Source organism: Homo sapiens, chromosome 7 (assembly GCF_000001405.40).
Source record: "Homo sapiens chromosome 7, GRCh38.p14 Primary Assembly".
Taxonomy (NCBI): Eukaryota; Metazoa; Chordata; class Mammalia; order Primates; family Hominidae; genus Homo; species Homo sapiens.
This window is the reverse complement of record NC_000007.14, coordinates 16,917,015-16,931,232: the sequence shown is the minus strand read 5'-3', so window position 1 is coordinate 16,931,232 and position 14,218 is coordinate 16,917,015. Positions and strand designations below refer to the sequence as shown.

At 39.5% G+C, this 14,218-nt stretch overlaps 1 annotated feature.

Annotated features, from left to right (window-relative positions):
- Positions 1,780-1,829: an enhancer, noted in NCBI's record as "active region_25670". NCBI's record gives its function as "activates an Ori minimal core promoter by ATAC-STARR-seq in GM12878 lymphoblastoid cells {active_cell/tissue: GM12878}" and the evidence as "EXISTENCE:reporter gene assay evidence [ECO:0000049][PMID:35858748]".

Genomic DNA, 14,218 nt, shown 5'->3' with positions numbered 1-14,218 from the left:
ACAGCCTTATTGCTGATATGCAGAAAGTTTGAGTGGTGTGGATAGAAGATCAAACCAGCCACAATATTCTCTTAAGCCAAAGCCTAATCTAGAGCAAGGCCCTAACACTCTTCAATTCCGTGAAGGCGAAGAGATGAGGCAGCTGCAGAAGCAAAGTTTGAAGCTAGCAGATGTTGGTTCATGAGATTTTAAGGAGAGGAAGCCATTTCCACAACATAAAAAAGCAAGGTGAAACAGCAAGTGCTGATGGAGAAGCTGCAGCGAGTTATGTATATCTAGATAGGTTAATTGATGAAGGTGGCTACACTAAACAACAGTTTTTCAGTGCAGACAAAACAGCCATATATTGGAAAAAGATGTCATCTAGGACTTTCATAGCTAGAGAGAAGTCAATGCCTGGCTTCAAACCCTCAAAGGACAGGCCAACTCTCTTATTAGGAGGGAAAGCAGCTGATGACTTGAAGTCAATGCTCATCTGTGCTGCTGAAAATCCTAGAGTCCTTGGGAATTATACCGAATCTACTCGGCCTGTGCCCGACAAATGGAAAAATAAAGCCTGGATGACAACACATCTGTTTACAACATGGTTTACTGAATATTTCAAATCCACTGTTGAGAGCTACCACTCAGAAAAAGATGATTCTTTTCAAAATATTACTGCTTGTTGACAATGCACCTGATTATCCAGGAGCTCTAATGGAGATACACGAGGAGGTTAATGTTGTTTTCATGCCTGCAAACACAACATCCTATCTGTAGCCCATACGTCAGAGAATCATTTGATTTTCAAGTTTTATTTAAGAAATACATTTTGTAAGCCTGTAGCTCGATAGATAGTGAGTTCTCTGAGGATCTGGGCAAAGTAAATTGAACACCTTCTGGAAAGGATTCAGCATGCTAGATGGCTTTGTAAAACAAAGTGTCTGAGATAGGTCTCAATTAATTTAGAAGTTTATTTTGCTAAGGTTGAGGACATACCTGGGAGAAGACACAAAATCACAATAGGATCTGTGGTTCACACTTTTTATAAAGAGGATTTTGAGGGTTTCAATATTTAAAGGGGAAAGAGCAGGCAGAAGGGGAAGGAAGAAAGAAAAAAAAAGGGAGGGTATAAAGTGAGGTAAGCGGTCACATTGTTGTGAGGCTTTGATAAGTGTTTACCGAATCCACATGTTACATGTGAAAGGAGGAGGGAGAGGAGCAGTCAATTAAACATTTGTCTTATGCATCAGTAAGTCGGCATTTTACACAACATAAAAATAAACAGTAAAGGAAGCCAAGCTGTCAAATATGTCTTTGTCCTATACCTGTCTTTGTTCCATACCTGTGAAGATAAGCTGTTAATTTACCTTGTCAGGCTGAGGAAGGCCACCTGGGAAGATATGTGATCTTCTATCTTGCAGGTTCAGGAACAAAAGGAAAGGCAGTTTTTTTGGAGACTCAGTTTCTAAGCTTAACTTTTCCTTTTGGCATAGTGAGTATGGCATCCCAATATTTTATTTTATTTTCACACCTTTAAGAATATTCATGATTCATGGGAGAAGGTCAAAATATCAGCATTAACAAGAGTGTGAAAGAAGTTGATTCTAACTTTGATGGATGACCTTTGAGGGGTTCAAGACTTCAGTGGAGGAAGTCATAGTATACTACAATATAGTGTATACAATATGCACTGGGAAGCCAAAACATTCATGTGACTGACTTTTTATATTTCCTTATTGCACTGGTCTGGACCTGAAGCTTCAGTATCTCCAAGGTATGCCCATACATCATTTATAAAAGAAGTTCTGGAACTTGTAGAGTCAGACAACAAAATACAAACACTAGACGTTGGCAACCCTGTTCAAGAATGGCAAACTGTGGTCAATAGAACCAGTGAACTGCTTCCTTTTCTGAACTATTTAGCACCTACTTCCTCTTTTGACTCTTCAGCTCCTTCAGTGTTCCACTTAACATGTTTAACTCTCTTTTTGTGGGTATCTGAATGCCCACCAATAGATCTGAAGGTTCTAGGGGGCAAAGAAAGTGTCTTCTTATTCTTCCATCAGTCTTTGCAGAGTAAAAGGAAATGGTATCTGTTTGGTGCTAGCGGTATCCCTTAAAATGTTGATAGAGAAAAGTATATTTTACTTGCCAAGATATCTTTAAGATGAAAAGGAAAATGTTTGATGTTCAACAGATGTCTAGTGACTGAACTTATTACTTATATCAAATCAATTTGAGAGATTTGAAAAACTAAGGGGAAAAAAAATAAAGATGGAGGTATGGACATTGTACCAAGTCCTTGGTAAACATAATCTGATTGGATCATGATAGAAGTACCATATGCATGGTGTCATCTCTCATTCGAAGTACGTAAGACAGAAAGGGAATGCCTTTATATGTATACGAATTGGACTGCAAGGATAAGCAACAAAATAAAATTTAAGTAACAGGATTTCAAAAATTGATGTAGTCCTTTATAAAATTGATTTAACCACAAAATACCATAATTACCATCAATACAGAGTGATAATCACTAATGTGTTGATTGCTAAGATTTCCTGTGTGTATGATTTTGGCAAAGTCTCAAAACACAATTTTTTCACATTTTAAAAATTCATTCCTAGGCTGGGTGCAGTGGCTCACACCTGTAATCCCAGCACTTTGGGAGGCTGAGGTGGGTGGATCATTTGAGGTCAGGAGTTTGAGACTAGCCTGGCCAATATGGTGAAACCCCACCTCTACTAAAAATACAAAAATCAGCTGGGCATGGTGGCAGGCACCTGTAGTCCCAGGTACTTGGGAGGCTGAGGCAGGAGAATCGCTTGAACCCAGGAGGCGGAGGTTGCAGTGAGCTGAGATCACGCCACCTCACTCCAGCCTGGGCAACAGGGCAAGAGTCCTGTCTCAAAAAAAAAAAGAAAAAAGAAAAAATTCATTCCTTTGACAAATATTGACAGAGGACTTTTTGCCAAGAACTATGATTCACGTCAGGAATGTACACATAAGGTAGGCAGGTACAATCCCTGCTTACTTTTTAGAGAGGAAAAATGATGATGGTGATAATGACAATGATTTCTCAATTATTTACTAATGCAACAGATATTCATTGAGTGCATAATATCTGCCTCTACTGGACCCTTGAAATATAGGGTCTTTCATGGAGCTTAAATTATAGTGGGAAAGAGATATCATCAATAAAAACAGATAAATATATACAAAAAATTTTAAATACTGTGGAGATAGATTAAGCAGGGCAATGGGACAGGGAATGGAATACTAGGGGGCCTGGCCTGAGTTTATGAAGCATAGTCAGGGAAGCCCTCCCTAAAGGAAGGAAAAGAGAAGAAGGTGCAATTAGCAAGGGAGGAATGTTCTACCACCCAGATGCAGTGTTGATTAAAATAGCACTAATAATAGTTAATATGCATTGATATTTTATTATGTACTAGGACAGGTTCTACACACTTTGCTTGTTTTCGTGTGTTAATTCTTTATGACAAACAACCCTATCAGGTAAATAGTAAGCTCACTTTCTAGATGAGAAAACTGAGTTTTAGAGAAGTCACATTATTTTCAGAGTCCCTAATTCATAATATTTAGAGTCACAATTTGAATGCAAGCAGATAAAATTCCTTTTAAAAATAAGTAAACAACAACAAAGGACAAACTTTAATGACTGGATAAATACTATGAATAAAACAAATAAAGGTCCAGAAATAACGAGGGAACCACTTAAGATAAGGTCAACGGGAAAGACTTCTATGAGAAGAACACACTTCACCTGAAAACTGGAGGATAAAGAGGATGGTTCAGAGACAGACCTGGGCAAGGCAAACCAGGGAAGAGTGAGGAGCGTGTGTCTACATCCTGCAGCCAGAAGAAGCCAGGCAGGTTGCAGGAGCTTCAAGAAATCAGGACCCTGGAGCCCAGAGAATGGAGAGAAGCATTCTGAGAGATGAAGGCAGAGAAATGAGCAAGAGGCATGTTATGTCAGCCTAATCGAGTCTGGATTTCATCATAAACCATTGGGAAGCCATTTTTTAAGGACATTATCTGGTTTTCCTTTTAAAGAATATCACTTTTGCTTCTGTGTGGTAAAGGAACTAGATTTTCCTGGACAGTTGATAGAAAATGTGTTATTGGGGCATTTTTATGACTCACTGTTTAACTAACAACATAAAGACAGACAAGGTACAGTAAACAGCCCTCAAGGTATGTACAGGTCATACATGATATATAAATCTTGGTGTCCAATGTTTACTTATAAATAAAGCAAAGTTTTTTAAAAAAACTTCCCTGCTGTGCTCATTTCATTTTGTTAAATAGACCCCTCATGCAAAAGGTGTATTTGGCCTGTGTTCCCTAGGATTTCTGGATCCTTGCTGTCATAAATTTACTGAGTGAGGAAGAGAATATGTTCCTTTTCCCTTGTGACCTTCATTCTATAATGTTATCATTTATCTAACAATAGAAGGTCATTAGAATGCTAGTTACGGTTTGCTTGGACTTGACATATCCAAATGCCTTTTAGCCACACATTAGATGTACGATTCTCTGTGAGAAGAGGTTGTTGACAGAAGACTTTTCTGGATCTGTGCAAACAAACTCCACCTCTGTCTGTTTTTGCAGGAATGTTCAATGTTTTATAGCACACTGTGGTTTCGCATTTAGGATCAAATTTGGAATGGAACCGCTTTCTGTTCAGTAAAGCAGAACTAAAATGTTACAACTGTGAAGATTCATATCCTTTGGAAGAGAGCTGCCCTGTCATGAGCACCACCAAGTGGCCTGTACAGCTCCTACAGTCTCCCAAGATGTTACTTGATTGAAAGGTTCTAATCCAAAAACTTGACCAGCTGTTTTATACAGAGTACCTGTTTTTAAGCATACCTTTCAATGACTCAGAGAATCCATTTGTTAGACTTCCACAAAATTTAACCAAAAAATAAGAATTGCTGCTGCCATCTGAAATCCCAAATGTGGGGCCTAAAAAATGCTGTTGGATGCACTACACTATATTATCACACGTGTATACATTGATATAAGGGAACTAAAAATAAGCCAAAAACTTGAGGGCATCTCTGCCTCCATGGATGCAAGCTGGCCCCATTTCACACAGCTGTAGAAATAAATTGCTCTCTGTTCCTGAGATGCAACCCAACTTTACTGAGCAGCTGTAACCTAGGAACAGGAAGGAGATGAATTGCCACTATTCTTACTTTCACATTAAAACATTTCTCATCTCCTATGTGTACAAACACGAGGCTGAAAGATTTTTCACATTGACAACTTGCCTGATTTTTTTTTTTAACTATACAAAAACTAGGTTAGGTACAACACTAGAAAATGTGACCTCTGCCTTTGAGAAGATGAGACTCAAAGGACAATGCTACCACGTCATCATTCCCTTCTCTGGTTACAAATGCAAAATGTGTGCTGTGGGGAAGAGGAGAGGGCTGCTGGATGGCCTTTGGTGAGAAGAGTAAGCTGAAAGTGATACTTCAAAGAACGTCTTCCAGAGCCTCCATCCCTAGCCCTGTCCATCCAAGTCATGGCTCACTCCCATTCTGACAAACAAAAAACAAATTATAATTGGTCAAGATCTGTTCAATATTTTAGGAATTTTAACTTACTTTAGGGTCAAAGAATGTTGACTGGAAATCATTTCTGTAAGTAATAAACAAAGGATTACGATTTCATGAAGCAATTAGTAACAAATGCCATTAGAGTAGAAGAAGCCTGTCATAACGCACTTGAAAGGTATTTAAGAGTCAGAAGTATCACTATTGTTTTTAAAAATACACTTGACAAGCCTTAAAATTTTTTACAAAAGAAAAATATACATACGTAGTCAGTTTAAACAGATTTCTAAATAGACAGTGATTAAAAGTTGCATAAAAATATATATACATAGTCAGTTTAAACAGATTTCTGAATAGGCGGTGATTAAAAGTTGCATAAGCCCTCAGGTAAAGAACTGGAGACCTGACAGGTGCCCAATTTGCCTGAGGACACAGAGCAAGGAAGCAGTAAAGTCCTGTGATGCCACCTTTGCATTCATGTGGTATTCTGCAGTTTACAAAATGCTTTCAGGTCCTTTTGTCCCCTTCATTTGAACCTTACAAAAATGCTGTAATGTAGAGTGCACATCATCCCTTTAAAGTTAGAGACTGTGATTATGCTCTCAGAAAGAGTAAAGATTTGGTAGTGGCTGAGTGGCTGAGGGCTAGAACCAGGCCAGGGTTACCTCATTCTGCAATAATTTGCATTGACTTTATAGTTTTCAACACACTATAGTGTTTCATTTATTTCTCCCATATGGGTAAAGCAAACATCTTTCCTAATTAACAAGTAAAGAAATTGGCCATACAGAGAGAAAGCAATTGGCCCAAGGTGCAGAATAGTTGGAGCTAGGAGTAGAACCATATCTCCTGAATCCTCACTTGCTTTCTTCCTACTATTCTCTACTGCCACCTTCGAGATCCTAAGTCATCTATTGCAAGACTCAAAGCTGAAGTCAGACTTTAAAGCTAGACTTTAGGCCAGGCACGGTGGCTCATGCCTGTAATGCCAGCACTTTGGGAGGCCAAGGCAGGCAGATCACCTGAGGCCAGGAGTTCAAGGCCAGCTTGGCCAACAGGGTGAAACCCCGTCTCTACTAAAAATACAAAAAATTAACGAGGTGTGGTGGCAGGGGCCTGTAATCCCAGCTACCAGGGGGCTGAGGCAGGATAGTCGCCTGAATCTGGGAGGCGGAGGTTGCAATGAGCCGAGATCACGCCATTACACTCCAGCCTGGGCAACGAGAGCAAAATTCCTTCTCAAAAAATAAATAAATAAATAAATAAATACAAAAAATCAGCCAGGCATGGTGGCGTGTGACTGTAGTTCCAGCTACTCGGGAAGCTGAGGCAGGAGAATCACTTGAACCCAGGAGGCAGAGGTTGCAGTGAGCCAAGATCACACCACTGCACTCCAGCCTGGGTGACAGAGTGAGACTTTGTCAAAAAAAAAAAAAAAAAAAAAAAAAAAGGCAGACTTTAAAGAAAAAATGTCTATAAGATTAGTTGGAAAGCAATAAAGAAGGGAGAGGTGGGGATTTCTAAAACTGTATCCATGAACTTAGACAACTGCCACACATCGTGTTAGTCACAAATATTGAACTAAGAAAAAATATGTTGCCCTATAAAATGGCAATGTATCAGAAGATTTTATATCTAGTAGCAAAATGACTTAAGAGAGATAAAAATTCCAGAACTACTTCTTCACAACTGCTGAATGGTCAGTTCTGAAGGTGAGATTTGCACTTTCATATAAGGCAAAGTGTGATGGGTAATCTCGGGCAGCCCTGGACGTGGAAAGAACCTTCAGTGTGAAGCAAACTGCTGAGATCCATGATCACAAAGCTCTTGTAGAAACACATGTCAGAAAACCTGGTTCCAGCTCGATTCTGCTACCTGGGAGTTAATCAATTACTCTCTACATCATATTGTAAAATGATATAAATGATCATAACAGTTACTTCCTTTACGCCAAACAAACCGCTTGCTTACATTCTGTCCAACATTCTTCACACAACCCCATAATGTAAGTATTATACTCATTCCCATTTGACTAACCCAATACCTAGAGAAGTTGTTATACTCAGAGGCATTGTGGTCTGATTCTAAAGGTAATTCCTTTAACCTGCCTTACTGGAAAGTAATTTGTTTTCCTTGGTAAAGTAATAAACTAGTATTCTGGTTTTACATATTTGTCTTTCATGAGTTCTGTTTGTGAATCAGTCCCCTCAAACCCAGCTTCAAGGATAATGCCAAATTTCTGACATTGCAGAGCTGAAGACTACATCCCAAAGCACAGTAACAGTGAAACTTACGTTAAATGGCCAGGAAGCCAGTCACTGGAGACACTCCTCTAGGCCTCTTTCCAGTACAAATGTTGGCAACTATCATGACACTGCCATGACCGCTTATCAACTACAGTGGGTGGGAAGATGAGGTGGGGTTCAAGCTCACTCTCAGGCTAGGTGTTAAAAGCCATGTTTATCAAACAGAGACTGAAAGAGTGAAGAAAGTCAGTGCCTTGAACTTATACTCTGACTGAATATATTTGAGATCTCAAAAAAGATAGTGGCAAAGATAGAAACTGAAAGACTTCTTCACCAGAAATGGAAATTTGAACTTAGATGTGAGATAGACCCCTATTACCAAACTGTATACAGTGAAAAAATAGCTAGGACAGCTTTGGGCTGAAGTGAGGAATGGGCTGAGAGTTTTTCAAAGGGTGATTTGTATTGATTAGGGAGAAATAGATTATAGCCAAAGCAAGGATTTTAAAATGCGGATTTTACAATGAGGCATGCTCAAATTGTTAGCAGGCTGAGGCCACCAGGCCTCATTTGCTTTCATGATGGGGATTAGGAACCCGACCAAATACCCAACCACTTCTCCTATTAGAGCATGTAGAAAGGAAAGTTCTTTCTTTTTTTTTGGGTTTTTTTTTTTTTTTTTTTTTTTTGGTTTTTTTTTTTGAGACCAAGTCTCGCTCTGTCACTCAGGCTGGAGTGCAGTGGTGTGATCTCGGCTCACTGCAACCTCCACTTCCCTGGTTCAAGCAATTCCCTGCCTCAGCCTCCCGAGTAGCTGGGACTATAGGCACGAACCACCATGCCCAGCTAATTTTTATATTTTTAGTAGAGACGGGGTTTCATCATGTTAGCCAGGCTGATTTCAAACTCCTGACCTCAGGTGATCTGCCCACCTCGACCTCCCAAAGGAAAGGAAAGTTCCACATGAACAGGTTTGGGGCTAAGTAGGTGAAGGTGTGATGAGAAGAAATGTGACCGATCACAAAAGAAAGTGTGTGTGTGTGTGTGTGTGTGTGTGTGTGTGTGTGTGTGTTTAAATAATAATAATAATAATAATTTAAAAAAAAACATTTACATTGGGTTAGAAGTCCTGTACTTCCTGGGAATGGGGATGGGGTGATGTATAAGCAGAAATAAAAATTAATGCTTCACTAGAGAAATACTAGTGTTTCATGTAAAAGACATTTCCTGCCTACTCCCTAGGCAAATATTTCAAACAAACAGAAAAAAAAAAGATGTGTTTTAATCTCTCTTGTAGAGACACCCCACCCCATTTCTCTAAGACAGCTTGGCTCTAGAAAAGGTCTAACCAGTCTAACACCTTGGGCAACTGTACAATTTGACCCCATCTCTTCACGGCCTGGGGACTGGGCCTATCTGGTGAAAACAGAAAATCATGTGGGAAATGAATGGCTTAAGAAATGAACTCTCTATGGAAGGTAATTTCTAAGACTAAATACCGCATACTCTTTCAGAAAGAGAGGGCCTTCTAATGTATGCTGCTCTGGAGGAATCCACTGTGCCTCCTGCAGCATGATTTGTTAAATATTAATGAACCCACAAGCTGGAAAGAACCCCTGGAGTGGCCTAATTGCTTTTAGAACTGCTTAATTCCTGTAAGTAATCCACTTCATTAATTTTGCCAAGCAATACTTATTCTGTGTTCGACCTTTCATGGCTCATTTCCAAAATGTTAACATTAAGGCAACAACACTGTTTGCAAACCACAGTCTGATAAATAAAATGCTAAAAGAAATAGCAGAAACTTTCAATTACATTCACTTCTTTGAATTGTTCTATTCAGTGCTTTAAAGACTAAAATCCCTTGACCTAAGCTATTTGGTTTTTTGTTTGTTTGCTTGTTTGTTTGCTTTTTAGTATGCCCTATGGTAGACTAAATAATAACTCCCCCGAAGATGTCCACATCCTAATCCCGAGAACTGGATGTGGTCTTACATGGCAATAGGGACTCTGCTGATGTGGGTAAGTTAAGGATCTGGTGATAGGGAGATTGTCCTGGATTACCCAGGTGGGGCCCTGTAGTCACAGGGGTGTTTATAAAAGGAATACAGGAAGGTCAGGCAGAGGGGAAGGCAATGTGACGATGGAGGCAGAGACTTGGGTGATGAAAGCACAATCCGGGGAACACAGCAGCCTCTAGAACCTGGAAGAGCCAGAAACAGATGCTGCCCTGGAGCCTCCAGAAGGAATCAGATGCCCTACTACCCTGATTTTAACCCTGTAAGACTCATTTCAAGCTTCTTACGTCCAGAACTTTGAGGCAAGAAATTTGTATTGTTTGTAGCCACTAAGTATGGGGCAAACACTTGTTGCAGTAGCAACTTTCTTGCAAATGTATGAAAGTTTGAAATATCACTGCAGACAGCCCATGAAACACCCTCAACATCTGTCTTGCTTTCCACTGCTGTTTGAGCACAGTGATCAGTCGTTCCTCATGAATAAGCTGTCCATCGGCCTGGCTACATCTGATTGGACCCCCTATAGCTACACACACAGGCCTATGGCTATGAGGAAGCCTGTTGCAAAAAGTCCGCCTTGGAAGACACTTCAAGAAGGACAGTGACCAACCAAAGGAATCAGGTTCTCTCCCAGAGACTTTTCAGTGCAAGACATTGACAAGGCAATAAAACTATAAGGAAAAGAACAGGAAGTACAAAAAAGACAGAAAGGGAAAATGGAGAAAAAAGCTAAGGGGCCAATAGGATGGAGTCAGGAGAAGAGGGAGTAAGGGACACCAATTTCTGGGGACCAGGCCGCCACACTTCTCCACGGCTCCAGTGCCTACCATAACCCTGCACAGGGGCCCTCAAATGACTGCTGAACATTTGAACAATAGTAAAGTGCGTTCCATTTCTTCATGAGACACCACTGCGTTACTGCTAAGATTGGTTCTCGTGCTTCCATATTTCCCCATGCAGCCTTATAATAATCACTACACACCTGAGATGACCAGAGTAGGTTTTGATTTTTACAACTCTATTTTATTTTATTTTTGAGACAGAAGTTGTGCTCTGTCACCCAGGCTGGAGTGGAATGGCGTGATCTCAGCTCACTGCAACCTCCACCTTCCGGGTTCAAGCGATTCTTCTGCCTCAGTGTCCAAAGCAGCTGGGACTACAGGCGCCCACCACCACGCCCAGCTAATTTTTTAATAGAGTTGTATTTTTAATAGAGTTGGGGTTTCACCATGTTGGACAGGATGGTCTCAAACTCCTGGCCTCAAGGGATCCTCCCATCTCAGCCTCCCAAAGTGCTGGGATTACAGGCATGAGCCACCGTGCCCGGCCTGTTTTTAACAGCTTTGAAGAGCCTAACCACGATTCTCTCCTCTCAAGTCTTATCCTTATAATGCTATTTTAAAAAATCATTGGGGGCAAAGAACTTGAATAAACATTTCTCCAAAGAAGATCTACAAATGGCCAACAAGCTCATCCAAAGATTATCAAGGTCACTGAGGAAATGCAAATCAAAACTACATGCAGAGACCACTTTAAACCCACGAGGATGGTTATCCTCAAAAGAGCTTTGAGGAAAATGCAGCAAAACTGGAACTCTCATACATTGCTGCTGGGAATGCAAAATAGGGTAGCCACCACAGAAAAGTTTGATGGTTCCTCAGTAAGTTAAACATAGAATTACCACATGACTCAGGAATTTCACTCCTGCATATACACCCCCAAAAATTAAATAACAGGTGTTCAAACAAAAACTTGCACACAAAAGTTTGCAGTGGCACTACTTACAATAGCCAAAAGATGGAGATAACTAAAGCATCTGTAGATGGATGAATAGATAAACAAATTTTAGTATATATGTATATACACACAGTGGAATATTATTTGCCCATAAAAAGGAAGAACTAATACAGGCTACAACATTAATGAACCTAGAAAGTATTATTCTTTGTGAAAGAAGACACAAAAGGCTACATAATGTATGATCCCATTTGTATGGAATATCCATAATAGGCAAATTCATCGAGACATAATGCAGATTCGTGGCTGCCAGGGGTTGAGGGGGAAATGAGGAGTAAATGCTTAACGGGTGCAGGGTTTCTTTTTGGGGTAATGAAAATGTTCTGGAACTAGAGAGTGGTGATGGTTGTACAACATGTTGATGTACTAAATTCTACTGAATTGTACATTTTTTAATGGTTAAAATGGTGAATTTTATACGATGTGAATTTTACCACAATAAAAAAGATGATGGGAAATGTATTTCATGTGAGATCTTCCTTTATTTGCCACATGACTGATAGAGAATTTATTATATAACCATTTCAACTTATGGTTAGATATCCGAAATGCTGCGCTTGCCCCAAGTGGCTTTAGGGCTTGAGTTATCCCTTTGTTAGCAAGGGTACAATCTAGGGTATATAACACACAGATACCTGTATGTGTTCTCAGTGTCACACTCAAAAGTTCTTTCATGTGGGCCTAAAACTTATAGATTGTTTTGTAAAATGGAGTAAAAAGCCAACCAATGTCGTGTCCTGATTAATCTGATTCTGGGCTAAGCGAGAAAAACTATGCAACATTTAGAGTGATGTGAGTCTTTTATTTCAACATTTTAATGTGAGATCAAGATACCTTAAAATAAAGAAACTAATCCCTTGATAATAAGGGTTAGTCACTAAGTGGATTAAGAAGTTAATGATGACATCATTAGGGAATCATTTCTTTAAAGACAGTGACTGATACTTCAAAAGAATGTTACAGGTATTTGTCACCTAGCTCTTCAATAAAATTAAATTTCTCAGTTAAAGAAATGACAGATTGGCCCACCTTTGCTGAAAAAAGTAGAAAAGAACTCATAATTGTATTTCTTGCTTCTCAAAATATTCCAGAAGTGTTTTTATTTTCAACAGCAGGTGGCGCTGCCAACATAACTCTGAAATCTAAAAGCTGCCTGACCATTTTCTTCAAGCCCCTTATTATATAGGAAATACGGAATAATTCACTTTTTGAATCCACTTCATGCTTGAAATACATTTTACTATTCTTGGCATTAGTCGGGTATGTTTAAGGTTCTGAAATCCTAAGAAATTTAATTCAATTAACTCACGGAAACAGCTTTTAAAACATTACCTTCATTATTAACTAACATGGATAGGGTATTTTCTATGGGTAGGCACTTTACTACACCCTCACATCAGCTTTCTCTTTAATCTCGATAAATTTAAAGGGTATTATTTTCATTTTAAAAAGGAGAAAACAGATAAGTTATGTTCTCTGCCCAACTCACACATCTCTGCAAGGAGTAGAACCAGGATCCACTGAGACCTGACTCCCTCCAAGGCCCACATCCTCAGCCATGTCACCCCACATCACACATAGTGCCACAGTGCCCTAGGATTCCCAGCATTTTGGAAAGACATTCAAAGACAGGTTTACTAGATGAATATCAAGGTAGATAACCTGAAACCACTGAACATGCAGGTGGCCCTCATTCAAGCCATTTAGACAGGTAAGTTCATTTAACTCCTAAGCACCAGTTGTATTCAGAATTCAGTCAAAGCTTAAAACAAGTTTGACCTTATTTCTGTATGGGAAAAGTTAAGAGTGAAAGGTGATATTCCATTGAGTCAAACTGTCTAGGACAAAGACTTTGCACAATATTCAGAAAGGCACCCTGCAACACAGAAATCATGCCAACTCCATTTACTGTGTGAAACAAAAGGAAGCTAAACTTCAGCAGCAAAGAAGGGAGAAAGAAATAGGTTATTTGCGTACTTGAAATTTGACCTTTCCATGAACAGATAGTCGTTTGCTGTTATGACACTATTCTGAGTAAACAGTTTGATATATAATGCAAAAGTTGAAGAAAAAGGAAGTACAGCACAGCATTAAGTATTCTAAATCTTTCTGATAGACACATCCTACGTAAGGATCTATAAAGGTTATCTGTTTTTAACAAATTTAACACTATATGAGAGTTTTTTCTTCTCTCTAAAAAAAGTCATTAGCCATCTCACAAGTAAAGATAAATTGAGGACTGGTCAGAACCCATTGCTCCATTTTCTCATTCAGTCATTTGATACCATCACCCTCAGGAGGAGAAGGAACACTTCAAGCACATGATGATGGTTTTAATAAATTCAATAAGATTTTATTCCCAGGCACTTAGGATCAACCGTCATGGACTGGACTAGACTATGTTGTTTCTCTGGCATAATACAAAAACCAGAGTCCCTTTACTGGAAGCCACATCTGAACATTAGCCCTTGTCATTTTACCTTTTCCACAGCAAATCAGGACAGACCTAAGATGAGAGAAAGCTCTCTCAGGCATCCCCAGGACAGAGAGGCCTTCCTAAGCTCCTAAGCATGGCAGATCCCACAGGTCA